We start from the raw sequence: 26,463 nt of genomic DNA, 5'->3' as shown, positions 1-26,463 counted from the left end.
ACCACGTGTGTAAGTAGCTCAGGTAGCGCACTGTTTGCCTTTTCTGAAACTACAGGAACTGCACTTGAATGTGCTTCTGCAACTTGATTTTTTCCCCTGTAATATGAGATACGTTCTTTTAATTATTTTTCTGCAGTTTGGTATTCCATAGTGGCAGTAAAGCAGGTTTATTCAATAGCGGATGGGCATTGACGTTATTAGCAGCGTTTTGCCAACAGACGCACGCACACAGGCACTGCTGCAATTTCCTTTCCGGCAAGGTTTCCTTCGTGACCTCGTTCCGCCAGTTCCTGCAGCAGCTTTGCAGAGTAGTAGGGTTCGTGCTGTTTGACTTTACTAAATATTGCCAAGTCTCTTCTCCAGGGCGCTTGCACCGATTCACTACCAGCGGTTTCTCACTTTTTATTTTTTCACATTTCCTCTTTAGTCCACCCACGGTAGAATCCATTTTTCCCCCATATAAATAACTGCCTCATCATCGTTGCTTGAAGAGGCCATCCTTCCTTCTGTCATTCATGTTAGTTTAAAAACACACAATTCACAAATTTGGAAAAAGAGAAGGCTTTATTTCTTGTAAACGGTCGTAGCCTGCAAGGTGGCGGCCATCTGTCTGAGGCTGGGAATCTGTCTCCAGCCAAGGCCAGAGACAGGCACGTCCAAGGAGGAGGGGTTGGGGCAGGAGCGCTATGCTGAAGGGATTGGCTAAACATACATATTCAACAGGTAACAGGAGGAGCTATGAATATTCATGAAGGTGGTCCTGACACATGCCCTCTTATTGAGCAAAGCATGTAATATATGACCCATGTTCACTTTGGGGTGGAGACTTAACATTTACACATCTTACAATTAGGGCCTTTATGGCAAAACGTCTTTTCAGGACACAAAGGCATGCAGGTGCATCATCTCTCTCTATTAACGGGTCAGCTGGTCGGCATGGTCAGCTGGTCGGTGGTCTCTTATTAGGAGAAAGTCACTGAAATCAGTCTCTTGTCCAATCACAGCTGCTATGGCTGGTGAAACAGAGTCAGTTAGTTGGCACCTAGTGGAGCTGCAATTGTTTTAATATTCCCTATCCCAAGGCTAGTGTGTGTTTGGCTAATAGAGAAACAGAAAGCCTTGTGGCTCTTAGAATATAGTTTATTCTCTAAGTGTGGGTTGCCTGACTTACCCTCGCCTAGCATGGCTTTGGGTCCTGTTTATAATTTGGTATCTTATTGCCACAGAGTCCGTTCTGTCAGTCTTACGATCTCTGTTTTAACATGAATGCCGGCCAGTTGTGGTGTCCAAACTCTGAAACAGGGGGCTATTACCAGGCGCATCTGACCTCCCATCCCATCATGTCTGGGAATTCAGTGTTGAGGTTTTTCTGGTGTCCCCTTGGTCAGGAGAAGGTCCCTTTGGTCAATGGGGGGCTTAGGATTTTATTTTTACCTTATGTACATATACCCGTTTTCACATTTTGAATCACTTTTTTTCCTGTCTATAAAGTAGTGCTTGTTCATGACAATTTGGAAACTCCACAAAAGCACCAGAATGTTATACATGCTAACTTATTTAATCCTCACAGTAGTTTTCATGCTTCTGAAATCCACACGATCTGCTCAAATTATCTCCTGCCAACAATGGCTGATGCCAGGCCTGGGCAGAGAAGGGGAGGATCCTTGAACATCTGGTTGTCCCAGAAAATAAGTAAGTACTCAAAGGATGGTAGATACATGTCATATGAAAAAAGAAGCCAATTTGAAGGGGCTCCCGTTAGCTAAATACAGGACAATACAGTAAGGATCATAACTCGGTCAGCTAAATCCATTAGGGCATACTGATAAAAAATAAATCAAAGAGGAAATCCCTACAGAAGAATGCTTGCTAATAAATAATTTATTAATAAATGTTGAGGGAATGATAAAATTAGAAAATTAACACTTTGTCCCAAGAAATAAGGGATTCAGGCAAGATTCCTCATTAAATGCTAGTTCACTGGGTGAAAGGTCATTTGGGAACAGCATATTTACAGTCTCAAAGTATCACTGCACCAATTACTCATTAATAACAAAAGGAAAAATGGAGACTTCTGGCAGAAACCACGGAGCCCCACTATCAATCATGGAGCACAGTGATATGTTGTCTTAAAAAAGAAAATTTTAGGACTCTTGAAATTTATTAGGTCAACTTGGGCAACAGAGCAAGATCCTGTCTTTAAATAAATAAATAAAAATAAATAAATTTATTATGTCAAGAGGGAAGTTAAGTCCTAGAAACTGGGTCACATAGCATGTTTGTAATTTTGTCTTTTAGATTATAGGCTGTTTTTCTTTATCATTCATGTTTTATAAATGACTAGGAGAGACCACAGACCAGGCCTGCTCCCCTTTTAATTACTGATCTTTATTATAGATTGTCTCTTATTATCCCGTACTTAGACCAGACTCCTACATCTTCAGTGTAAAATGTTAAATATACCTTCCACCTAAAAAAGACCACCTCAGCTGGTCAGATTATAACTTTATGCATAAAAAGATGTTAAAATTCTGTTAAACTTCCCTAAAATTTGTCTACATAAATGATCCCAAACATCTACAGTTCAAAATACTGATTTCCATTCTTTAAAATCTGTGCTTCCCAGGCAGCCTGTCCTCAAACTTTATACACTTAAATAAACTCTCTTTAAGCTAAATTCTGACCTGTTTGGTTATTTCAGGTTGACAGCCTTCTAACAAGATAAAACATGCTCTATGTAGTATATTATCCTGCCAAAAAAAGTGCATAGCCTGAATGCACAGTGTGGCTCCCTGATTAGATCCTGGGGTTTAAAAAAGGGCTGTAGGGCAGAGCTTCACACCTGTAGTCCCAGCACTGTAGGAGGCCACAGTGGGTGGATCGCTTGAGCCCAGGAGTTCGAGACCAGCTTGGGGAACATAGTGAGACCCCCCCCCCCACCCATCTCTACCAAAAAAAAAATAGCGTGTGGTGGTGTGCTCTTGTAGTCCCAGCTACTCAGGAGGGTGAGGGAAGAGAATCGCTTGAGCCCAGCAGTTCAAGGCTGCAGTGAGCTGTGATCGTGCCACTACACTCCAGCCTGTGTGACAGAGACCCCCGTCTTAACAAAGCAAAACAAAACAACAATAACAAAAGGGCTGTAAAGGGCATTATTGGGACAACCGCGGGAAACTGGAGATGGAAAATAGATAACAGCATTGAACTGATGTGGTCATTGTATTTTGGTAATATAGGAGGTTCTTGTTCTTAAGGAGTTGGATACCGAAGTATTTGGGAGGGGGGTATCACGGTATCTGCAGCTAATGGTGGGGGCTGAGTGGGGAGGAAAAAAGAAAAATACACATATATAAACACAGAGGGAGAGAAATGAAACGTGGCCAGCTGCTCACCCCTGCTGAACCTAGGAATCTGCGTGCTCACTTTACGTTCAACTTGTTTGTATGCTGAACATTTTTCAAAACAAAAAGGTGCAGGGAAAAAAGAAAACATGATGTCTCTCTGAGGGCCACAGAGACGTGGCAACCAGATCGCTCTGACAGTAAGGCCTGTTACCCGAGCTGTTGGGTGTGGGGTCAGCAGACACCTTCAGCTGCCCCCTCCTCCAGGGCTGCCTCGCCCCAGGTCATGCCCTCGCAACGTGGCCCGTGCGTCCGGCTCGCACTGTGGCTCAGCTTCTCCCTTTGCCCAGTCCTGCTGCTCCCTCCCCTCCCGTCCTCGCACAGGTGTGCCCCCCTAATAAGCAGGCCACCCAGACTCCATCTCGGGTCACTTTGGCGGTCTCCCAGCGGCGAGCCTTCCCTGACACCCATGTGTTTACCTGATCGTTTATGGAGGATCCTCTTCGCCCCGGGACGTGAGCCCTAGGACCAAGAACTGTGTCTGTTTTGCTCCTTGCGGTGCACCGGCGCCTGGACATACGCTCCATCAATGTGCGTCGCGAGCCGCTGAAGCCCCATTTGCCGAGGGGGAAACTGAGGCACGATGATCCAGGTGATGAGCCTGGCGCGTTCTCCGCGCGGCCCACGTGGCCACTCCGCCACGCCCCACCCCCAGCTGGTCAGCTGGGATCCCGAAGAAGCGCCAGAGGCTGCGCCCACCCACTAGGGCCCGGGCGGGCCGGTGGGGCGGCAGGGCGGGGCCTGGGCCGTCAATCTCGAGTCCGGCCGCTGCCGAATGGCGGGCGCGGTGGGCCCGGAGTCAGCTCAGGCTCCTCGACCAATCACGGGGCGCGGAGCCGCCGGGCGTGCAGGGTCCGCCTCCGATTGGCAGGCAATCGCTGACATCATCCGGGGGCGGGCGCCCCTGCCCTGCGGGTGACTCCGACCCCTGGCTAGAGGGTAGGCGGCGTGGAGCAGCGCGCGCAAGCGAGGCCAGGGGAAGGTGGGCGCAGGTGAGGGGCCGAGGTGTGCGCAGGTGAGTGGCCAAGGTGTGCGCAGGTGAGGCCAGGGGAAGGTGTGCGCAGTGGGGGGCGCTTGCCCAGGTGAGCAGGTGCCCACTCACAGGGCGAGGGTGGGGTCAGGGGTAGGGGGCGTGCGCGCAGGTGGGGAGAGGGTCCAGCTCACAGGCGAGGGGCCGCTGGGGCTCCGGGGAGGCGGGGCGGAGGCGTGGATAGTCCCCCTCCCCCACGAGCCGGCGTCTGAGGGATGCTCTGTCCCCGCGCTGTCTGGAGCTTCCCCGGGCGAAGGCTGCCTGGCTCCGGGGTCGGCTCCTGGCCCCATGCCGCGCTCCGCGGCGGCTCTTTCTCCTGCCCCACCTGTTGTTCGCCTCCCTCTTTGTCAGTGCTGAGCCAGGCACAGCAGCTTTGCGATGGGACTGGCTTGTCCGCCGTCCTCCCTGACATGCGGCTGTTGAAGCCCTGAGCACTGGACCTTCTGCCTCTTGCTTGACTCCTACTGTGGGCCTTGAGCTTCTGCCCTCTCCTGAAATGTCAGCTGCCTGCGGTCTTATTCATTTTTGTGTTCCTTGCAGGACTTTAGCCGGTTGAGAAGGATCAAGCAGGCATTTGGAGCACAGGTGTCTAGAAACTTTTAAGGGGCCGGTTCAAGAAGGAAAAGTTCCCTTCTGCTGTGAAACTATTTGGCAAGAGGCTGGAGGTAAGTGTATCTCAGTGCCCTGGATCGTGGGCGCAGGCTATGGCTTCACAGCGTTGAAAGTACAGACAGACTGGTCCACCAGCTCTCGAGTGCCAACGACTGTCTGTGCCTCTTATGAGTAAAATACAACATACCAGGGCACCTCCCCTTTGTCTGTTCCCAGCCGTCTATTGGGAAGGATGTTACTTAGATGTTTATTGCACAACTCAATGCTTGTGGCTAAAGAGCTGACTCCTGGGTGAATGAACTCTGTAATAAGCTAAAAGTACTTCTTTGGTCTTGTTTTAATCCCTTTTGACAACATTCTCCCAGTGGCTTTTTCACACTTTAGTTCTGAGGTTACACATCCCCTGACCCTTTTGCAATTTCCCAGTGTTTTACATAATTGATAATGTTGGTACCAGGCATTGTCCCCTTGTAGCTTATCCATGGCTTGGGGCAAGACGAATGCCACCCCATTCTACTTAGCCTTCCTGTAAGGCAAGTGTGCATGTGGGTGGTCTGGATTAACACCAGTCAGTGTGGGAACTAGGGATCGGAGGGAGTGGGGGCACTGAGCTGGTAAGTTTTGGCTGGGAAGAAACTAAGCTTGTATCTTACCTTGATGAGAGCCTGGGGGAGAGGAACTGTCTAAAGCAAGCCAGCTTGTCCAGGTGGCTGTGATCTTGAGATCAGACTCACTAGCGTGTCAGCTTTTCTCAGAAGTAGTTTTCTTTCATCCACTTTGATTTTACAGATATAAGGAGAGTGACTGGCACTCGCCAGGCTCTGTATTCAGTATTTGGGGCCGGAGAGAGACACGGTCTCTTCCTATCAAGAACTCTTCGTCTTGTTTTGTGCATCATAGGAACTGCATAAACTAACTTGTGTAAATTGAATGAAGTGCGGGTACTGAAGTTCTCACACTGCATAAGGAAAATGTCTTTCATCGTTGAAATTTTTTAAATGTGTGTGAATTTTTATTAAAGTAATTCATGCACACATTTTTTTAAAAATCAGTGTTAAAAGGCTTCAGAAGAAATACTCTCTACCACATCCCACATCCGACAGTCTTGCTTGCCAGCAGCAAACACTTTTCATTCTTTCAGCTACTTTTGTGTTGTTGTTTGTACCTACTTGTTTCTAAGTAATTTCCTTTTAGTACCCCTAACTTTGCAAATTCCCTTCTGTGCATACAATAGTCAATAAATAGTCAGAGTATACATTGTTATGACAAAATTACCATTATTCACTGTTGAGCCAAGTAAGGTCCTATAATAATGGCTTGGTTTCTTTTTTTCCTTCCTTATATGACTTTTTATTTTTCCTGGAGTTAACAGTTGCCTTCCTTTTTTTTTTTTTTTTTTTTTCATTTGGTAAGGTTTCTATGCATCTCTCATTCATTTTTTTCTGGATGCTCTAACCGAGCTGTCACATATATCAATAATTTTCCTACACATTCAGATGCAACAAAATTCATCATTTTCATTTCCTCTCTTTCCTAGCCATTCATCTTGTACCAATGTGGACTGGTTTCTGGTTAGTCCTGCTGCATAGCTGTCCTCTTGGGACTTGCCCCTGCCCTTTTGTGGACATGGCTTCAGCAGCTCTCTTGGGTCTCCAGTTTCCTGGATCCTATGTTGTTGTCCTTGAGTAATAGTTCACATAGGAGTAGAATTCTAGGTTGCAAAAAGTTTTCCTCAAAATTTTGAAGTTTTTCATCATTGTCTTCTAGAATCCAGCTTGCTGTTGAGAAATCTAAGCCTACTGTGATTTTTACTCCTGTTTTTTCTCTAAAAGCTTTCAAGAGCATCTTTTAAAAAATCTCAGATATTTTAAAGCTTCACAGTTATGAACTTGTTCTGGAAGTGGGGATGTCACTGCTTCCCCCAAATTATAACCATGTAGAGCAGCTGTGGGTACCTAGAGACATTCTGTGTTCTCTTCCCCTTTTTTTTGAAGGGTGATTATTGATGGTCCTACATGGGCCACTGTTCTAGGCCCTGGTAGTAGAACAATGAAGAGGACACACAATTCCTGCCCTTGGGAAGCTTACATTCTAGTGAGGGGAGACAGACAATACACACACACAAATGAATACTTCTAGGCGATGGGGAGAGTTACTAAGAAAATAAAGTACCCAGTGGAGGGCCTTGGCAGGGAAGCTGGGGAGCAGCTGCTTCAGATTGGCTGAGAGGGAAGATCTCCCCAGGAGGGGACATTTTACATGAGCCCTGAACAAGGACACCTGCAAACGTGCTCTAAGCAGAGGAAGTCAGTGCCACAGACAATTTAAACTGTGTTCAAGGATGAGTGAAGACCCCTGTGTTCCTGGAGCCAAAGGAGAATAGGGGAGAGTGGTGTGTAGGAGGGAGGCAGGAGCCAGCTTGTGCTGTAAGAGGGGGGGCATTCTGCCATGTTTGGAGAATGAACTGAGACTAGCAAGAGCAGCCATAGCAAGGTCACGTGGGAGGTGATTGCAGGGTCCAAGGAAGAGAGTCTAAGACAAGATGATCTCTTCCCTGCCTGGAATCTGCTGTCAGGAACAAGGTACCGGGAAGATGTGCACAGGAGGCCAGCCCTGCCAGGCCCAGGAGCAGTGGTGGATGCAACAGGGAAAGGTGGTGTCTGTTATTTGAGGGATAATGTAAGCAAGGTTCTCTTTCTTGCAGGGCCCAATGGCTGCAAAATCGCAACCCAACATTCCCAAAGCCAAGAGTCTAGATGGCGTCACCAATGACAGAACCGCATCTCAAGGGCAGTGGGGCCGTGCCTGGTAAGGATCTTGCCTGTTCTCCCAGCTAGAAAGTAAAGTGTGGTCTCAGAGCTTTCCAGCCTTTGGAATTGTATGGACCCAAAGGAATGAAGGACCTTTTTAAAAAAGATTTTTTTTTTTTTGTCAAGACTAATGAAAGGTAAACAGTTTTCCACTTTATAAAGTAAGGAATTATAAAAAGAAACTAGAAATCATGGTCAGTCAACAACTTAGAAAAAAAGATAAAGGCTTAAAGGGCAGCTGGGGCCTTCCCACCATCTGGGGGTATGACCTATTGTCACAGCTCCCATTTCGCCATAGAACCATGGGGACTTCGTGCAGGGTGAGTATCCTCTCCGACCTGGAACTGGGGAAACCACTGGCCTTGGTGGTTGTGAAAGACCTACCTCCGCTCATATTCTGAGCTCTGGGCCTTCCATGGGGGCCACAGATAGTGCCACCAGTTAATCAACTACAGTAGAGCAGGCATGTTGAGTGGCTTCCCTGGCCGCAAGGAGGGCCCGTGCTAGGAGCTAATGCCTTCTGTCATGGGGTACTGGTGGGTTTGAGCAACAGTTCTCCCACACAGAGCCTCTTAGGGTCCTGGTGGGGCCCAGGGCAGATGGGCCCCAGTGTGACTGCCTGCATCCGTCCTCGCAGGGAGGTGGACTGGTTTTCACTGGCGAGCGTCATCTTCCTACTGCTGTTCGCCCCCTTCATCGTCTACTACTTCATCATGGCTTGTGACCAGTACAGCTGCGCCCTGACTGGCCCTGTGGTGGACATCGTCACCGGACATGCTCGGCTCTCGGACATCTGGGCCAAGACTCCACCTATAACGAGGAAAGCCGCCCAGCTCTATACCTTGTGGGTCACCTTCCAGGTCAGCAGCCCCTGCCCTGGGGTTGGGACACAGCAGGTGGGGAGCGTGCCCTCCTGCTGGGGTAGTCCTTCCATTTGTCTGGGACATGGATCCTGGCTCAGGTTGACATCTGGGTTCCCGGGACCCAGCAGGGCATTCCCTGGACTCTGACATGTTCAGATTCATCCTCAGCTGTAAGGCAGGAGGCACCTGTCACATCAGCGTTTGATACACCTTCACGGCATGCCTGCATGCAGTTGCTGGGCACGCCCAGCTCTGCAGGGACAAGCTGAGGATAGGAGCAAAACCCCGTGGGAGGGCAGTGCTGTCCTGAGGAAGCCCCATTGTCAGCAGGAGTCACGCCTTGCACCAGGTCTGGAAAGGAGCATCTCAGTCCCCAAAGGGACTCTCTCAGTCATGAGATGCCACTCAGAGAAGCGAGGGCCATGTTTCCCCACAGGCAGTCGAGGCAGGTCCAGGACGTCCTCAGCTCCATGGTGTCCCCACTGGCCTCCCAGTCCAGAGGGAGTTCCAGGAAGGGGTTGTTGTAAACCTGGTGCACACATGGGTGGTGCTGATTGCCTGAACCCAGGAAAAGGTTTCCAGGGAAACGGTGCTAGAAAGAGACAGGCCTGGGTTTTCCTTCCTGGGCGGGAGGAAGGCTCAGATCATGATTAGCTGTTTCTCCCCAGGGTCCAAGCTTCTGGGCTCCAGAATACTTCTCAGTTCAGATCTCTTGGTCCCTTTGAGTGAAAAATGACAGGGGCAGTGTGAATCACAAATAGCCACAAAGCAGGAACCCCCACCTGTCCATCAGTAGATGAATGGACCCACAGAACAGAACACTGTGCCCACTGTGGGACACTATTTGGCAGCGGAAGGGAATGAAGCTCTGATGCCAGTAGGCGGATGACCCTTGAAGACACTGCTGAGCGAGAGAAGCCAGTCACAGAGGCTGCATACTGTGTGGTTCCCTTTATATGCAATACCCAGTACAGGCAAATCCACAGAGGCAGAAAGCTCAGTGGCAGCCAGGGGCGGCAGGGACAGGGAATTCAGAGTGACCGGAGATTGGAACAACATTTTCTTCTGTGGTGATGAAAAGTTCTGGAATTAGCAGTGATAGGTGTACAACCAACCATGTAAATGCGCTAAATGCCGCTGAATTGTGCACTTTAAAAGGGTGAATTTTAGCCGGGTGTGGTGGTGCACACCTGTAATCCCAGCTACTTGGGAGGCTGAGGTGGAAGGATCACTTGAGCTCAGGAGGACAACGCTGCGGTGAGCTATGATTGCACCACTACACTCCAGCCTGGGTGGTAGAACAAGACCTCATCTCAAAGATAGATTTATATATATATATAAAAAGTTGAATTTTATGGGATTCTCCATTTTAAAAAGGTGACTGGGAGGGACCTGTGCGCTCTCCTGAGGGGCGAATGGAGCCCTGGGGGAGAACGCCTTGGCACCTTCCCTGGTTGATGAGTTTATTGTCTCAGAACCCCCTTCAAAACCCACAGCCCAGCAGTTTGAGCTTCCAGGAGCCATAAGTGCTTCAGGAAGAAAAAGACTATGATTGTGATTCTCATGTTCCTGCTATGCGTCCCCCTTTGCAGGTGCCCTCCAGGCGGGGGGTGATCAGGCTGCTTGTGTGTTTCAGGTGCTTCTGTACACGTCTCTCCCTGACTTCTGCCATAAGTTTCTACCCGGCTACGTAGGAGGCATCCAGGAGGGGGCCGTGACTCCTGCAGGTAGCCTCCTCCCTTCCACCCTCCCCAGGCTCCCGTTCTCATCCCTTTCTCTCAGGGGCCAGTCCTCCCCAGCGCTGCTTTGTCCCTAAGACTTGTCACAGGATAGAAATCCATTTTGCTTGGATTTTTCACAGCACCAGGCCTCAAAACCATTGAGGGCAGCTGGGGCCATCCCACACCCAGGTTAGAAATCACTTTCCTGGGTAAGGAGGGAATGGATGGCCCAGCTCCTTCCCAGCCCCATAGCAGGGGATGCACTCGGCCCATGAAGCTTCCTGCAGAGACCACCATGCAGAGACCACCATTCCTCGGGGCTGTCCGTGGGAGACCTTGTCTGTTCATTCCTTGCCATCATTGAGAACCCACGAGGAGCCTGGCTTTGTGCCTCTCACGTGGGTGCAGACTGGAACCGCATCCCAACTCTGCCCCCAGAAGCTCCCTGTTTTGAGGGGTGGATGGGCTGAGGTGCTCCCCAACAATTACAGAGGGGGCCAGGCATACCACAGGGGCATCCTCACTTGCTTCTGCCCCTCAGCCCTGACCTCCCTATCAGACTGCACACCTGTCACTCAGCCTATGGCCAGTTAACGAGATGCAGAACCAAAGGATGGACTCAGCCTCCCCTCCCTCTTCCTAGGAGCAGGTAGTTCCTTGGCCAAGGGTATAGGGGCCTCAGAGATGGTTCCTGGGGCCCCAGATGAGGGTCCGCAGCAGCAGAGGCCCAGAAAGTGACCAGGGCCCCCGCCAGGCATGCTTCAGCCCAGCCAAGCTCCTCACTGCGGGTTGGGAAAGCGCCTTCATTTCTGAATCCTTCATCTGCAGGGGTTGTGAACAAGTATCAGATCAATGGCCTGCAAGCCTGGCTCCTCACGCACCTGCTCTGGTTTGCAAACGCTCATCTCCTGTCCTGGTTCTCGCCCACCATCATCTTCGACAACTGGATCCCACTGCTGTGGTGCGCCAACATCCTTGGCTATGCCGTCTCCACCTTCGCCATGGTCAAGGGCTACTTCTTCCCCACCAGCGCCAGAGACTGGTATGTTCTTAGCAGCGGGTCCAGCCTGATGTAGAAAGTGCAAACTTCACCCCTGGCCTTTCTTGCTGCCTGGGGCAGGTGGTTGTAAAGCCCTGAGCACTGAGAATCCGTGGAAGAGGAGGAGGGGGATGGAACTTGCTTCACCCTGGGGAACATCCTTTCTGAATGTTTGGTGGCTTCTCCAGCCTTGGCAAGAATGCAGCTGAAGATGGCCAGGTCAGCTGTGGTGGCCAAGTCATTGCCTTTAGGGCTGGCGTGGGGGTAAGGAAGCCAGGAAAAACTTCTGGCTTGGGGCACAGGCAGCCCATTGCCTCTTTCTTTGGATAAGCTGGTGAGGCCCAAAACAACCTTAGTGAAGAGTCTTATTGTCCCTGTGGCTTTAATTAACAGCTTCCCAGGAGAGCCCTGCTGGCTTGTACCCATTCCCATGGCTGGACAGTGGTGAGCCACTCATCTCTGTCCACTCATCCATTCACCTGCCCATCTCCCCACCCACCCATCCACCCCCCTACCCATTCATCTACCTACTCACCCATCATCCACCTACCCATTGCCCCATCCCATTCACCCACCCACCAATGCATCATCCATCCACCTATCCATCACCCACATCCACCCACCCATCATCCATCCATCTACCCTCCCATCACCCATTCATCCATCTGCCCATCCACCTACCCACCCACCTACACATCTAGCCACACACCCATCCACCTGCCCATCTCCCCATCCTTCCACCTACCCACCCACCCATCCATCATCCATCTCATCCACCTGCCCATCCACCCTCCACCCCGTCTGTCTACCCACCCGTCATCTATTTGTCCATCCACCTATCCACCTACCCACCCACCTACACATCTAGCCACCCACCCATCCACCTGCCCGTCATCCATCCATTTACCCATCCATCCACTCTATCAGGGCCTGTAATGGCATGTGCCGAGGGGAAGGAATGCATCATCTCATCCAGGTCAACCTCCTGCCTGAGCAATGTCCGCAGCTCCTGACCGGCCTCCCTTACCCTCTCAGGCCCTCCTAGCCTGCTCCCTCTGGCTTCCTGGGTGACACTTCTGAACACACCTGATCCCTGCCACCCTGCACCCCAGCTCAACCCTGCCTATCATATATCCATCCACCTGCTCCTCTCCCCATCCCATTCATCCATCCTTCCACCCACTCACCCTGTTATCTATCCATCCATCCATCATAAACCAATGTTTGGGGGGTTCTCTTGTGGACAGTTGTAGGCAGTGGGACTTACAGTTCAGTTTGGGGGATCCAAAAAACCCCAGTGTGGTTTACACCTAGGCTCTTGGGAAATGTTTCTGGAGGATGACACTTTGTAGCTTGTGTGTTATCAGATAACGAGGCTGGCCTTCAATGGCTCCTGGAAATCATCCTCGCTACCTTATAATCATGTAGACTTTGTGTGTTTTGCTTCTTTCTACTTACCCTACCTGAGGGAACTGGACATGAAAATAGGATTTTCTAGTTAACACAGAAATTGTTGTGTGTCCTCAGCCAGCTAGACCTAGTCAGGGTCTCCACAGGGGTTATCTCGGCTGATGCTCTGGCCCTCCGGGGATTGGGGGATTCAGGTAACTGGTCAAAGAACTTGTCCTGCACATGCTGGAAGCCGGGCCCAGGGTGCGTTTGTCATTCTCTACGTTGGCGTGATTTATAATGTCACTCACCCATGAGGGCCCACGTGCCCTGCGTCGGCTTCAAACCGTGTGCTTGGGCCCCAGAACGTAATCTCAGTGCAATCAAGCCAGTTCTTCAGCTCACCTGTGCCATGCGTCAAGGGCATCTGGAGAAGGGTAGAGAGAAACCCAGGTACCAGCCCAGGGCCGGTCTCCCACCCTTCCCGGGTGCAGAGCAGGTGCCCCTGGGCTTCTGCCTAAGGAAGTCTCTGCTGAGCAGCAGCTGAATGCAAAGCAAAGTGAATGAGGGCGCCAGGAACCAGCCGACAAGCATTCCAGCCGTGGGGGTCCCAGCGGCTCATGGCCAGCTTCTGCCTGCGCCGTCTCACGTTACCCTTTAGGACCCTGGGCCAGTGCTGGGCTCTCGCTAAGTAAGGTGGCTTCATCTTGTGAGATATGCTCATCCACTAAATGTATCTTTTATTTATATTTTTAAGCAAATTCACAGGCAATTTCTTTTACAACTACATGATGGGCATCGAGTTTAACCCTCGGATCGGGAAGTGGTTTGACTTCAAGCTGTTCTTCAATGGGCGCCCCGGGATCGTCGCCTGGACCCTCATCAACCTGTCCTTCGCAGCGAAGCAGCGGGAGCTCCACAGCCATGTGACCAATGCCATGGTCCTGGTCAACGTCCTGCAGGTGCCTGTCATGGCTGGAGAGGGTGAAACGCCGATGCCGGCAGGCTCTGGGGGAACCCGCAAGCCAGAGCGTATTCCCATGACCTTAATCTACTGCTTGTAAAAGAGAGTCAGCTGCCCTCCCCAGGTGTCACCAGGAAGCAGCCGGCGAGCACTTGGTGAAGGAAGCCATCCTTGGGTGCCTGTCTCTGCCAGCCCTGGGAGGGGAGGAGGCAGGTTCTACGCAGCCAGGCGTGGTCCAGGAAGGTCTCCCTTGGGGATTACACCTGGGTAGAATCTGGGGGTGTGTGGGAGTTAACCTGGTAGAGTGGAGGCAAGAGTGCATGCTCCAGGAACCCCCTGTAGGGAGAGAGGGTGGCAAGTCTGGGACACTCAGAAACATCCCGCATCCTGACCAGAGAGCGTTCAGGAGCTCAGAGCCAGGTGAGGCTGGAGGCCTCATGGAAGTCTTCCTCTTTATCTTAAAAGCAGCAAGACCCAGAAAGTGTGTGCTGAGCTGGGGTGCAGGGTGGCAGCGATCAGGTGCATTCGGAAGCGTCACCCAGGGAGCCAGCGGGAGCTGGCTAGGAGAACCCGAGAGGGTGAGGGAGGCCTGTCAGGAGCTGTGGACGTTGCTCGGGCAGGAGGTTGACCTGGATGGGATGAATGTATCCCTTCCCCTTGGCACGCGCCATTGCAAGCCCTGAGAACCTGGGCTGGGAGAGATGCCAGGGCCATGGGCTCGGGGTGGTTCTGAGGACAAGGAAGCCCTTAGCCCTGCCCATGACCCAGGCAGGAACAGCCCCAGCCGCAGGGAAGGAACAGCCCCAGCATTGAGGAAGTTGCTGAGCAGCTCCCGAGCACCCCCTGCTGCATCTGCGTGGAGTGTGATTTCCCCGAGGTCCATGGGGGCCCCAGGAGGGCCGGGGGTGGTCAGCGGCTGCTTCTGTCTTGCAGGCCATCTACGTGATTGACTTCTTCTGGAACGAAACCTGGTACCTGAAGACCATTGACATCTGCCATGACCACTTCGGGTGGTACCTGGGCTGGGGCGACTGTGTCTGGCTGCCTTATCTTTACACGCTGCAGGTGAGGAGGTGGGCAGAGCTGGCCCAGCGGGGCATTTGGCAGACACATGCTAAGCTTTCTCCTTGCAGAAGCGTCTGTCCTTGGGGGCACCAAAGCTGCCCCCTGTTTCTAGGAAGAAGGGAAGGCCTCGTGTATTAGCCAGCTCAGCCAGCTTGGGCCAGCAGCCAGGGAGGTGGCCTTGAGTATGTCCCTAACATCTGCAAAGTAGGGCAGATGCCGGCTCAGGGCTGGATGGGGCAGTGGAGGTGGAGGTGGGTCAGTGCGGGCACTGGCAGGAGGGGTCCTCTTCATTCCTGCCTCCTAGGATGTGCTGGGCACTGGGGCAGGGCTGCCCTGGGAGTTCCAGGACAGTAGGGGATAGCAAGTGGCCTTGTCATTGGCATCAAGCCCCCCACTCCCCTCCCAGCTCAACGAGAGCAGCCCTGCTCTGATTTGGGGAGAGTGCTGGGCTCCCAGGTAAGGTGGCTGCTTGACCAGATGCCACCTGCCCATTTCAAGAGCAACGAGCCCCCTGGGGACAGAAATAACTCACCCCAGGGCACTTGCTTAGCAGAACGGTGGGGTGGCCTGCCCCAAGAGGCTGTGCCCAAGTGGAGAGAACCAACGTGGAGAGGCTGTCACCTATTCAGGATGTGACAGGCCCGGCATCACCTGTGACAGCCAGTCCTGTGGGATGGAGGTGCGGGTGTCCTGGAAAACCAGGATTCCCACAGCAGAGGGGGCCAGTACCAGGTGGAGGGTGCAGAGCCCCAGCTGGCCCCATGCTCACACCAGGTCCTTGGAGCCCCCCGCATGGCCCACCCGGCCCCATTTCTCCACCTGGCTGGCTGCAGGTCTGCTGGTTCCCTGGTTTTATAAACTCCATTTTCCAAGGATGTGAAAACGTAGCAATAGGTCCCACTATATAATAGCTCTTACTTGCTTTAGCCTCTGTGTGTGTCTCGAGATGTACATTTTTTATACTATATATTAGGTTTCTCCCAAGAAGCAGAATCAATAGAGGGGTGGAGGGTATACGTGTAAGAAAGAGATGTATTTTTCAACTCATGTGATTGAAGAGTGACAAGTCCAAGATCTTCAGGGCAGCCTGGAGCCCCAGGGAAGAGTTGATGCTGTGCTTAAATAGAAGGTCACTTTTTTTTTTTTTTTGAGACGGAGTCTCGCTCTGTCACACAGGCTAGAGTGCAGTGGTGTGATCTTGGCTCACTGCAACCTCCACCTCCTGGGTTCAAGTGATTCTCCTGCCTCAGCCTCCCGAGTAGCTGGGATTACAGGTGCATGCCACCACGCCCAGCTAATTTTTGTACTTTTAGTAGAGATGGGGTTTCACCATGTTAGTCAGGCTGGTCTCAAACTCCTGATCTCGTGATCCGCCCGCCTTGGCCTCCCAAAGTGCTGGGATTACAGGTGTGAGCCACTGTGCATGGCCAGAAGGCCACTTTTTAGCAGATTCCCTCTTCTTTGGGGAAGGTGGGTCTTCTGTCTCTTAAAGCTGTCAACTGATTGGATGAGGCCCACCCCCATTGTGAAGGGTCATCCACTCTGCCTGGTTGACTGATTAACATATGAACCTCATCTGAAAAATGCCTTTACAACTAGTGTTTGACCAAATATCTGGGAACAATGGCCTGGCCAAGTGGACACGTTAAATTGACCATCACAATATTAAATTCAGATTATATTTTTAATACTGTTACATATTTGATGTTTATGCTATATGTCATATATATAGGGGGTATATATACACACACACATACACACACAGACAGGTAGAAGGCAGGTAGAGTTACTCATTTAATGACCACAACAGCCCTCAAGGTTGGTGCTTTTATTCACAGAAGAGAACACGGAGGCAAGGCGTGTGTCAGAGGCAGAGCTGGGGTTTGACCCCAGGCCGCTGGGCCCCCGAGCCCACACTCCTGTCCTCTCCCTGGGCAAAGCACCGCTTGACCCCTTCCCCCTCGCCCCCCAGGGTCTGTACTTGGTGTACCACCCCGTGCAGCTGTCCACCCCGCACGCCGTGGGCGTCCTGCTGCTGGGCCTGGTGGGCTACTACATCTTCCGGGTGGCCAACCACCAGAAGGACCTGTTCCGCCGCACGGATGGGCGCTGCCTCATCTGGGGCAGGAAGCCCAAGGTCATCGAGTGCTCCTACACATCCGCCGATGGGCAGAGGCACCACAGCAAGCTGCTGGTGTCGGGCTTCTGGGGCGTGGCCCGCCACTTCAACTACGTCGGCGACCTGATGGGCAGCCTGGCCTACTGCCTGGCCTGTGGCGGCGGCCACCTGCTGCCCTACTTCTACATCATCTACATGGCCATCCTGCTGACCCACCGCTGCCTCCGGGACGAGCACCGCTGCGCCAGCAAGTACGGCCGGGACTGGGAGCGCTACACCGCCGCAGTGCCTTACCGCCTGCTGCCTGGAATCTTCTAAGGGCACGCCCTAGGGAGAAGCCCTGTGGGGCTGTCAAGAGCGTGTTCTGCCAGGTCCATGGGGGCTGGCATCCCAGCTCCAACTCGAGGAGCCTCAGTTTCCTCATCTGTAAACTGGAGAGAGCCCAGCACTTGGCAGGTGTCCAGTACCTAATCACGCTCTGTTCCTTGCTTTTGCCTTCAAGGGAATTCCGAGTGTCCAGCACTGCCGTATTGCCAGCACAGACGGATTTTCTCTAATCAGTGTCCCTGGGGCAGGAGGATGACCCAGTCACCTTTACTAGTCCTTTGGAGACAATTTACCTGTATTAGGAGCCCAGGCCACGCTACACTCTGCCCACACTGGTGAGCAGGAGGTCTTCCCACGCCCTGTCATTAGGCTGCATTTACTCTTGCTAAATAAAAGTGGGAGTGGGGCGTGCGCGTTATCCATGTATTGCCTTTCAGCTCTAGATCCCCCTCCCCTGCCTGCTCTGCAGTCGTGGGTGGGGCCCGTGCGCCGTTTCTCCTTGGTAGCGTGCACGGTGTTGAACTGGGACACTGGGGAGAAAGGGGCTTTCATGTCGTTTCCTTCCTGCTCCTGCTGCACAGCTGCCAGGAGTGCTCTGCCTGGAGTCTGCAGACCTCAGAGAGGTCCCAGCACCGGCTGTGGCCTTTCAGGTGTAGGCAGGTGGGCTCTGCTTCCCGATTCCCTGTGAGCGCCCACCCTCTCGAAAGAATTTTCTGCTTGCCCTATGACTGTGCAGACTCTGGCTCGAGCAACCCGGGGAACTTCACCCTCAGGGGCCTCCCACACCTTCTCCAGCGAGGAGGTCTCAGTCCCAGCCTCGGGAGGGCACCTCCTTTTCTGTGCTTTCTTCCCTGAGGCATTCTTCCTCATCCCTAGGGTGTTGTGTAGAACTCTTTTTAAACTCTATGCTCCGAGTAGAGTTCATCTTTATATTAAACTTCCCCTGTTCAAATAAGTGGCTGTGTGGTTTCTGACTGGTGAATGGGCCTGACTCGTGAATGGGCCTGACTGCAGGTCTGACTGGTATACGTGGGCTCTGTTTCTGGTATGAGAAGGGATGTCTGAGAGAGATGCTTGGGTCTCGGCGTCAAAGCATTGGGTGCCCGTGGGTGCGTGGCGCCACCCTGCCCCTCTCCCTCCCATGTCAGCCCTTTGCTGGGGCTGTTTTTGGGTTGAATGTGGAGAGTATTCCATTCCCCCCCAAGGAGATGAAACCAGGCTTGGCCACCTGCCCCCGGCAAGTGAATGGAGAAGCCAGAAAGAGTGCCAGGTTTGTCTTGCACCTGGAGAAACAAGAGTTTCACACAGGCAGCCCAGTGCCCATGCCAGGGCAGGGGGCCAAGCTCAGAGTGGCTTCATTGCTTCACATGAGAACTGGTCCCACAGCCAGGCCGCCTCCCAGACAGCCTGGAGGGTATCGGAACTGTGACCCGCCCAGGCTGACTGCTGAGCCCTAGTGTTCGTGCACTGGTGCCCCACCACTACCTGTTTGAGGATATGGGCCTGAGGGGTCCCGTGCATCTGTGCTGGACACACACCACAAGAGTGATTCAAATGCCGGGGAGACGGGAGCACACTGCCCTGCATGGCTCTGAGCGGAGTGGACCCTGCCTTTTCTTCCCAGACATTGCGTAAATTCAGTTCACAGAGGCTGGGGTGTGGTCACTGTGAGCTCAGATCCGGGCCTCCCTGCCTGCGTTGGAATCCTGGCCCCAGCATTTAAGAGCTGTATGACCTTCAGGGGACCTACCCTCTCAGTGTCTCAGCTTCCTCTTTTGAAAGATGAGGGTCATTATTATCTTCCTGCCTTGATGTGAGAAGGGCTTTCCAGGCCAATTTGCTGGGAGAGCTCTTGGTTCAGATGTGGACCTGCCTCTGAATTGGCTGAGGTTAGCTTTTGGTTTGGTTTCTGTTTGAGCAGCTTTGTGCTGGGCTGCAGGTTCCTCTTCCATGCACTGTGTGTTTGTACAATGGGTTCTGCAGGTGCAAGGCTGTGGCCCAGGCTCTGTCCCACCAGACACGTCTGCCCTCACTCATCCCCAGATGGAGCCAGCTTCTCTCTGGGCGAGAACAGGGTGATCCAGGAGCTCAGATTAGACAGTGCCAGCCTCTACCATTCTCCATGTACAGAGAGCATTCTGTTCCCAGTGAAGCCACAGTGCCTGATCCCTGGGAAGCTGGCCTGGCCTTTGCCCCCTTCCAGAATGAAGGACGGCTCGGACCAATTGCCAGGGCCATCTGAACTGTGCTTTACAGGGCATGGCACTGCCCTCTGATAAGGGGCAGGCATCCAGTACCCCAGGACAGGGTCAGGGCAGGAATCCAGTGGGCACATTCAGAGAGGCTATTTTCCCATGAGTAGATTCAATCCTGATACACCCCACCCTCTCCAACCTCAACCTTCGAAAGCGAGGTGAGGCCTTTCTCAGAAACCACCCTGCTTGCTGTTGGCTCCAGCAGATCTGCTTTCTGGTCCACATTTAACAATCAATTGCTCAGCACATATCTCTGTCCTGGGAGGAGCTGCGCAGATTGCAGGCACTGTCTTTGATGGCACAGCTGATTTCTTGGGAAACTGAGGCCTGGGGTTTAAAGCAACTCACCCCAAATGACAGAACTAGCAACTGGTAGAGGCCAAATTTAAACCTAAGGAGGAGAGGCAAAGGGGCAATGTAGGTCACAGAGTACAATGTTTGGGTTAGACAGGAGAATAAGTTTCTGAGATCTGTGGCACAGCATGGTGGGTGACCATAGTTCGGAATGTATTATATATTTCAAAATTGCTAAGAGTAAATTTTCAGTGTTCTCACTATGCCCACAAAAATACACAGATGAAGTTATGGATATGTTAATTAGCTTGATTTACTCATTCTGCAATTTACACATGTATCAAAACATCACATTGTACCCCATAAATATAAACAATTATTGTCAATTGAAAATACCATTAAAAAATATAAATGACCAATGAAGATCTGAAAAGCTGTTCAATTTCCCTAGTAATTAGAGGGAGGAAAGTTAACATCACGTGATCCTTTGGCAAACTTGATCACATTGGCAAACTTTATTGCAGCAGTAACTCCCAGCATCACCAAGGTCAACAAGAAGCCAGTGTTCTCCTAAACAGTACGTAGGAGTTCTGTTCATTCACGTCAAGAAATTTACCCTGAAGAAATCAAGGGAGGAGGAATATGTTTCAATAACAATGTTGGTGCAAGTATGGTAGATAATAAAGTTTTCTGCTGGGCGCAGTGGCTCACGCCTGTAATCCCAGCACTTTGGGAGGCCAATGTGGGCAGATCACTTGAGTTCAGGAGTTTGAAACCATCCAGGGCAACATGGCGAAACCCCATCTCTGTAAAAACAATTAAAAAATTAGTTGGGCATGGTGGCACATGCTTGTAGTCCCAGCTATTCAGGAGGCTGAGGCAGGAGGATCACCTGAGCCTGGGGAGGTTGAGGCTGTAGTGGACCGTGATTGTGCCATTGCACTCCAGCCTGGGCCAACAGAGCAAGACCCTGTCTCAAAAAAAATAAAGTTTTCATATGAAATATATACATAAAAGGATATATACCAAAACATAAACATTAATGCTATTCATAGCTGCATAGCGGAGGTAATAGATAGTGGTTTTTTTCTGTATTTTTGATAAATGTTATTTTTCAGCAACACTTCTGCAGGATTATAGTAGTGGTGAGGAAGGCTGCTTGCACCTGGACAGATACAATGCATTTGTTTTTAATAAACTAGACCTTCCTGCCCTAAGCAGGCCAAGGAGGAGGAGGAGGACTTCTGGCCAGGAGGGGGGTTTCCACGCAGGCACTGGTGCCACCGAGGGCCGACTGGGCTTGGTTTCACCACGTTGCCTGCAGGGAGGGCTGTTTCAGGAGCAGGAGTCAGCCCTTCTTGTCTGGAGTACTGTCAGAGGTGGGCGTCAGTGATAGCGACAGGAGGCAGCCAAATGCCCAGCAGACAGAGGTGGATCCCCGGTGAAGCCCCACCTCCAAGCCAAAGACAGTTTAAAGCCTGAAAGCCAAGCTATCCTTGGACTGGACTGACAACTTGTCTTGCTGTTTGGTGCACTTCCCTCTGATGGATCCCCACCCTTCACCTATTTTACATATACCCAACCTTTCCTAATTGGTTTCCTACACTGTTGTGTCCACCTTTGAGTGGCATCTTTGCTTTAACCTTTTGTTTGTTTGTTTTGGAGACAGAGTCTTGCTCTGTCACCCAGGCTGGAGTGCAGTGGCGCAATCTCTGCTCACTGCAACCTCCGCCTCCCGGGTTCAAGCCATTCTCCTGCCTCAGCCTCCCGAGTAGCTGGGATTACAGGCATGCACCACCATACCCGGCTAATTTTTGTATTTTTAGTAGAGACTGGGTTTCTCCATGTTGGTCAGGCTGGTCTCGAACTCCTAACCTCAGGTGATCTGCCCGCCTTGGCCTCCCAAAGTGCTGGGATTACAGGCGTGAGCCACCGTGCCCAGCCTAGTTTTAACCTTTTACTGCATACTCACAAGCCAATCAGCATGCACTCCCCATCCTGTACCTATAAAGACTCCAGACTCATTCAGTAGAGGGGAGACGGCCTGACTTTGGGGAAGATGACCTGCCCTTCCTGGCCCCTCTCTAGCTCCCCTCTCCACTTAGAGCTGTTTTGGTTGCTCAGTAAAATTCTCGGCCTTCACCATCCTTCAAGTGTCCATATGACTTCATTCTTTTTGGATGCTGGGCAAGAGTGGGACCCAGCTAGTGTGAGTACCCAGAAAGGCTGTCACACTAGCCCTTTGCCCTTGCCAGTGGAGGGCAGCCACCCCACATGACAAGGCAGGGGGACAACTGAGCTGCTAACACACCACCACCCACAAATGGCAGAACTAAAGGAGCACTGTAACACTGCCTCTGGGGCTTTGGGGTCACAGGCACCCTCACCTGGGTGCTGCAACACGCCTAGTCTGGCCACGGGTCCTGCATGGAGCTTGCTCCTGTGTCTGCACTTGGAATGGCCGGCCGGATCCCACACTCACATGCTCACATGCTCCCTCCCACAAGGGGTTGAGCACAGTGAGCTGAGTAGACGGGGCGCCCCTGCTGTGAGTCCCGTGAAAGGACCAAGAAAAACCCTGCATTATCAGGAGAGGGAACGTCAGGCCACAGCCCGGCCAGATTTTCTGGTCAAGAGGCCTCATTGAGGAGAACATTCCATGCAGACTTGAGATCTAAGTCCCCTCTGTGTGTTTATTTCATCAGGATGGGCAGATTATTCTCCCTGAGTGCCTCCTCAGCTCACAGATCCACTCTTGCCCCTTTCCCAAACCTTGGTCTCCAAATCTGTTAGGAAATCTGGATGTTACCTGGGAAGACCAAGACCGCAGTGACTGGGAGCTGGGGACGGGATGGGTCTGGCTTTTGGAAACTCAATGCCTCAAATTCAACAATGAGCCACAGACGTGGACCAGCTCTTTGTTGTTCCAGGAAGTGGTCAGGGGTGGGGGTTTGCACAGGGTGAGTGTGGTCACCTGGACACACAGGGAAGCTGCAAGATGGCTGTTAGCAAGAGGCAAGTACCAGGCAAGTCCACCTGGCTCACAGCTTTAAACACCTCCACGGCTTGGTGACTCCAAGGTTTCATCTCCAGCCATGCCTTTGTCCTGAACGCCGCTCATGAGTCCACATGCTCCCTCTACACCTCACTCAGCATCTGAAAGGTTACTCGACTTCACCCCCTCAATCAGTACTGACCTTTTCCCATAAATGTCAGTTGCTCTAACCGAAAACCAGGTATCATCCCTGACTCCCCTCCCTCACGCCACGTTCCATCAGAGGGCAAGCCTGTGGCTGTGCCCATGAAATGTCCAGGATCTGACCGCTTTCCATCTACCGGGTGCCCCCGTCCCAGGCTCTGTCCTCTCTTAGCCTCAGCGCATGTCTCCCTGCCTCCTGCCCCCGCCCACAGTCTGTTCTCGGCTCAACAGCCAGACTATCCCATCAAAATGTGAGTCACATGCTGTCACTCCACTGCTCAGAACTTTCCAAGGTCTTCTCATGTTGCTCAGAATAAAAGCCAGGGTCGTTCTGAGGGCCTCAGCCGCCCTGTGGACTGTCAGACCTCTCTTGCTGCAGCCTCCCATATTGACACAGCAATAGCCATGCCCACCACCTCCCTGGGCCTCTGGCACTGCTCCACCTCAGTCAAAGCCCAGTTAGAACTACTGATGCAAATCCCCACAGCCAGGATCATCAAGACATCGGCCGCCAAGCTTTCTGGCCAGGGATTTCAGTTGCAGAACTGTTTGCAACACTTAGCTGCAATGGAAGTGCCAATTCTGGAACTGGTTTCCTTGTTGTTGGCTCACTTCTTCCTACCCCTGAGCACACTTGGAAGGCTACAGACTTAGATAAGTGAGGAGGAGGCGGGAGGCATTTGAATTACATGGTTATTATTTTTTTCTTTAACTGGGAGTGAACTCCACTCTGTCTTGAGAAAGAATTCTTGACTTGCCTTGCAGATGAGAAATGCTGCTGTGGAGGCTGAGTAGAGGCAGGAAGAGCTGCCTTCCCTTTAAGACTTGGAGATGACCCTGGGGAGGGCAGCAAAGGCGTCTGCAGAACCATCTGGGCTGTTTCCCCCTGGACAGGACTGCAGGGAGCTGCAGGGAGCTGCAGGGAGGTTCACCACGGCCCTCTGTACCTTGGAATACACTAAGATCTCCAGGGTGTGGTGGTCCTATGCCCACACATCCCACTGTTAGGAGTGTCCTCACAGTTATATCCTGCCATGTGCGAAATGGCTGCAAGTTCAAGGCTGTGCATTGCAGTGTCCTGTGCAAAAAAACCGTGAAAAGATCGGGAACAAGTTATGCAAATCAAGAGGTGACTGTTTAATTAAGTGCATCCACATGATGGAATGTTATAAAGCTCTCAAAAAGAATAGGACAGTCAACTGATGATGAATCACATTAACTTAATAAGGAAGAAAAACCACTTTATTATATGAAATAGATGGAGAAAAAAGGACACTAATTCATAATAAAAACGCAAAGACATCCATAGAAAACCTACAGCTAACTTCATATTTAATGATGAGATATTGGATTCTCTCATCATAAGATCAAGAACATGGCAAGAATTTTCACTGCCACTTCTTCCAAATTACATTAGAGATCCTAGAGATTGCAACAAGGCAAGAAAAAGATTTGAAAAGACATAGATTGGGAAGAAATAAGTAAATTAGCACAATTCACAAGATTTTTATGAAGGAAAGAGTTAACACAACAGGCCCTAACTACTATGTTTGGAAAGGCCTGCCTGCAAGGTAGGCCCTTGAGTGGCATCTGGGAATTTAGATTTGGGTAGGGTTCTCACCACTCTAATTGATAAGAGCAGGTCACTGTGCCTAGACTGTTGTACAAATAGTATGCCTTTTGGTTCACTTGCTTTCCTTCTGGAGGTCTAGAATTTTGACACATGCCAAGCAAAGGCTGGATACGGTATAAGGCCAGCACTCCTGAAAAGTCCTGGCTGCTTAATCTCAAATGAGCTTCCCTGATTGGTAACATGTCACATGTATTGTCACAACTTGTTGCTGGGAAAATTAAGCATGTCCTGCATGACCCCACTGGGAGAGACCCTTTGAAGTTTATGCCTGGTCTCCCCCAGACTCTACTCTCATGCACCTTTTCCCTCTGCTGATTTTGACTTTTATCCTTTCCCTGGAAGCTGCAGTTTCCTGAGCCTTCTTAGTGAATCATCAGACCTGAGAGTGGTCTTGACCGTCCCCACAATAGTTATGCAGAAAATCCTAAGAAGTCTACAAAAAAAGCTACTAGAACTAATAAGTGAATTTAGTGAGGTTGCAGGATACACGGTCAATATCAAAAATCTATTTTATTTCTATTCTTGCAAAAAAGTAAACATATCAATTTTTCAATAACATTTACTGTGTTGAAAACACAGCAGACTTAGAATGAAATTTTAATTAAAAATATGGAAGACTTGCTGTATTTTGGAAACCACAATTATTTCTGAGAGAAATTAAAGAAGAGCTAAATAAATAAATGGGTGTGCCACGTTTACATATTGGTGATGTGTTTACATACTGGTTACATATCGGACTGGTGATACAGCACCATTTCAACCAAGTGAGAAATGAAGAATCTTTTCAATGAAAAAATTAGCAGTTAAAAAAACAATAAGAACTTTTGAGTCATATAGATACCCAAACAGAGAAAAATGAATTTTGACTCCAACTCGCATCATTTACAAAACTGAAATGTATTATTAACCTACATGGAAAAAGCAAACCAATAAAGTCTTTAAAAAATATATACGAAAATGATCTTGGTTAGGCAAAGATTTTTAAACAGGATGATAAAAGGCACTAACCACAAAAAAAAAAAAGGAAAAAAAGTGGACATTGATGAAATTGAACTTCTCTTCATCAAAAGAAAATGCTACAAGAATGAAAAGGCAATTCACCAAGAGGGGAAAGTTATTTGCAATGACACTTTCATCCTCTGGAGGACTCAAGTCCACATTATATTATGATGGTACAAAAGCAATTGTGGCTTTTGCTATTTCAATGACAAAAACTGCAGCTACTTTGGCACCAACCTAATATAAGGGGCTCATACAAATCATGGAGAAAATGACTGGCACACTGATGCTTTTAAGATGAGAAAGAGGCTTGGACAAAATGACCAATGTATGTGAAAATATGTTCAACATCATTAGTCATCGGGAAAATGCAAATTAAAACCACCAGGAGCTACTGCATCTCCACCAGAATGGCAAAGAAAAAGGCTGAGAAGCCTGTCTGTTGTAGAGATGTGTTCTCTGGTTGCTGATGGGGTGCACATGGGAACAACCCCTTGGGGAGATTGTTTGGCAGCATCTCTTAAAGCCAAGCGTTCGTGTACCCTATCAGCCAACAACTCTACTCCTGGGAGTGTTCCCAGGGATGCTCACCAGAAGACACGTGCAAGAATGTTCATAGTGACATTAATTGTAAATAGCTAAAAAAAAAAAAAAAAGAAAAAAGACACAGTTGGCAATAGCCCAAATATCAATCAGCAGTAGAATGAATAATTTGAAGTACAGCTACACAGTGAAAAAATGAATGG

General features: G+C 50.6%; 1 protein-coding gene and 1 long non-coding RNA gene across 17 annotated transcripts, besides 5 other annotated features; one reads left to right on the top strand and one right to left on the bottom strand.

Annotated features, from left to right (window-relative positions):
• Positions 546–4,175, bottom strand: DHCR7-DT (DHCR7 divergent transcript). The gene is made up of 2 exons (NR_186309.1): positions 3,818–4,175; positions 546–1,013 (listed from the first exon to the last, which is right to left on the bottom strand). It is a non-coding gene; the product is annotated as a DHCR7 divergent transcript (long non-coding RNA).
• Positions 582–661: an enhancer, noted in NCBI's record as "active region_5167". NCBI's record gives its function as "activates an Ori minimal core promoter by ATAC-STARR-seq in GM12878 lymphoblastoid cells {active_cell/tissue: GM12878}" and the evidence as "EXISTENCE:reporter gene assay evidence [ECO:0000049][PMID:35858748]".
• Positions 782–831: an enhancer, noted in NCBI's record as "active region_5166". NCBI's record gives its function as "activates an Ori minimal core promoter by ATAC-STARR-seq in GM12878 lymphoblastoid cells {active_cell/tissue: GM12878}" and the evidence as "EXISTENCE:reporter gene assay evidence [ECO:0000049][PMID:35858748]".
• DHCR7 (7-dehydrocholesterol reductase) lies at positions 3,660–25,416 on the top strand. 16 transcript variants are annotated; one of them, NM_001425111.1, is made up of 10 exons: positions 4,310–4,413; positions 4,969–5,093; positions 7,745–7,848; positions 8,488–8,710; positions 10,350–10,440; positions 11,263–11,476; positions 13,620–13,824; positions 14,760–14,891; positions 16,864–17,261; positions 17,513–18,292. In NM_001425111.1, exons 3-10 carry the CDS (start codon positions 7,751–7,753, stop codon positions 17,565–17,567), a joined length of 1,416 nt encoding a protein of 471 aa, NP_001412040.1. In that variant the 5' UTR covers positions 4,310–4,413; positions 4,969–5,093; positions 7,745–7,750; the 3' UTR covers positions 17,568–18,292. The 16 variants fall into 16 exon arrangements, with proteins under 16 accessions (NP_001412038.1, NP_001412040.1, NP_001412036.1 ...); NM_001425107.1 differs by adding an exon at positions 11,867–11,917 and having other exon boundaries at positions 16,864–18,292; NM_001425109.1 differs by lacking the exon at positions 4,310–4,413 and adding an exon at positions 3,660–3,990 and having other exon boundaries at positions 16,864–18,292.
• Positions 3,777–4,278: an enhancer, noted in NCBI's record as "H3K27ac hESC enhancer chr11:71159471-71159972 (GRCh37/hg19 assembly coordinates)". NCBI's record gives its function as "activates a minimal SCP1, AML or CMV promoter by ChIP-STARR-seq in naive H9 embryonic stem cells {active_cell/tissue: H9 hESC(naive)}" and the evidence as "EXISTENCE:reporter gene assay evidence [ECO:0000049][PMID:30033119]".
• Positions 3,777–4,643: a biological region, named in NCBI's record as "H3K27ac hESC enhancer GRCh37_chr11:71159471-71159972".
• Positions 4,004–4,643: a silencer, noted in NCBI's record as "silent region_3708". NCBI's record gives its function as "represses an Ori minimal core promoter by ATAC-STARR-seq in GM12878 lymphoblastoid cells {active_cell/tissue: GM12878}" and the evidence as "EXISTENCE:reporter gene assay evidence [ECO:0000049][PMID:35858748]".

Source organism: Homo sapiens, chromosome 11 (assembly GCF_000001405.40).
Source record: "Homo sapiens chromosome 11, GRCh38.p14 Primary Assembly".
Classification (NCBI taxonomy): domain Eukaryota; kingdom Metazoa; phylum Chordata; class Mammalia; order Primates; family Hominidae; genus Homo; species Homo sapiens.
The sequence above is the reverse complement of the archived record's forward strand: the minus strand, read 5'-3'. Positions and strand labels throughout refer to the sequence as shown.

Bases quoted from the DNA above. Each gene is read 5' to 3' on its own strand.
- DHCR7 (NM_001425107.1), top strand. From the start codon at position 7,751: ATGGCTGCAAAATCGCAACCCAACATTCCCAAAGCCAAGAGTCTAGAT. The intron at 10,441-11,262 runs GTAGCCTCCTCC...CTTCATCTGCAG, and splicing joins GGGGGCCGTGACTCCTGCAG to GGGTTGTGAACAAGTATCAG. The intron at 11,477-11,866 runs GTATGTTCTTAG...TTTAATTAACAG, and splicing joins CCCACCAGCGCCAGAGACTG to CTTCCCAGGAGAGCCCTGCT.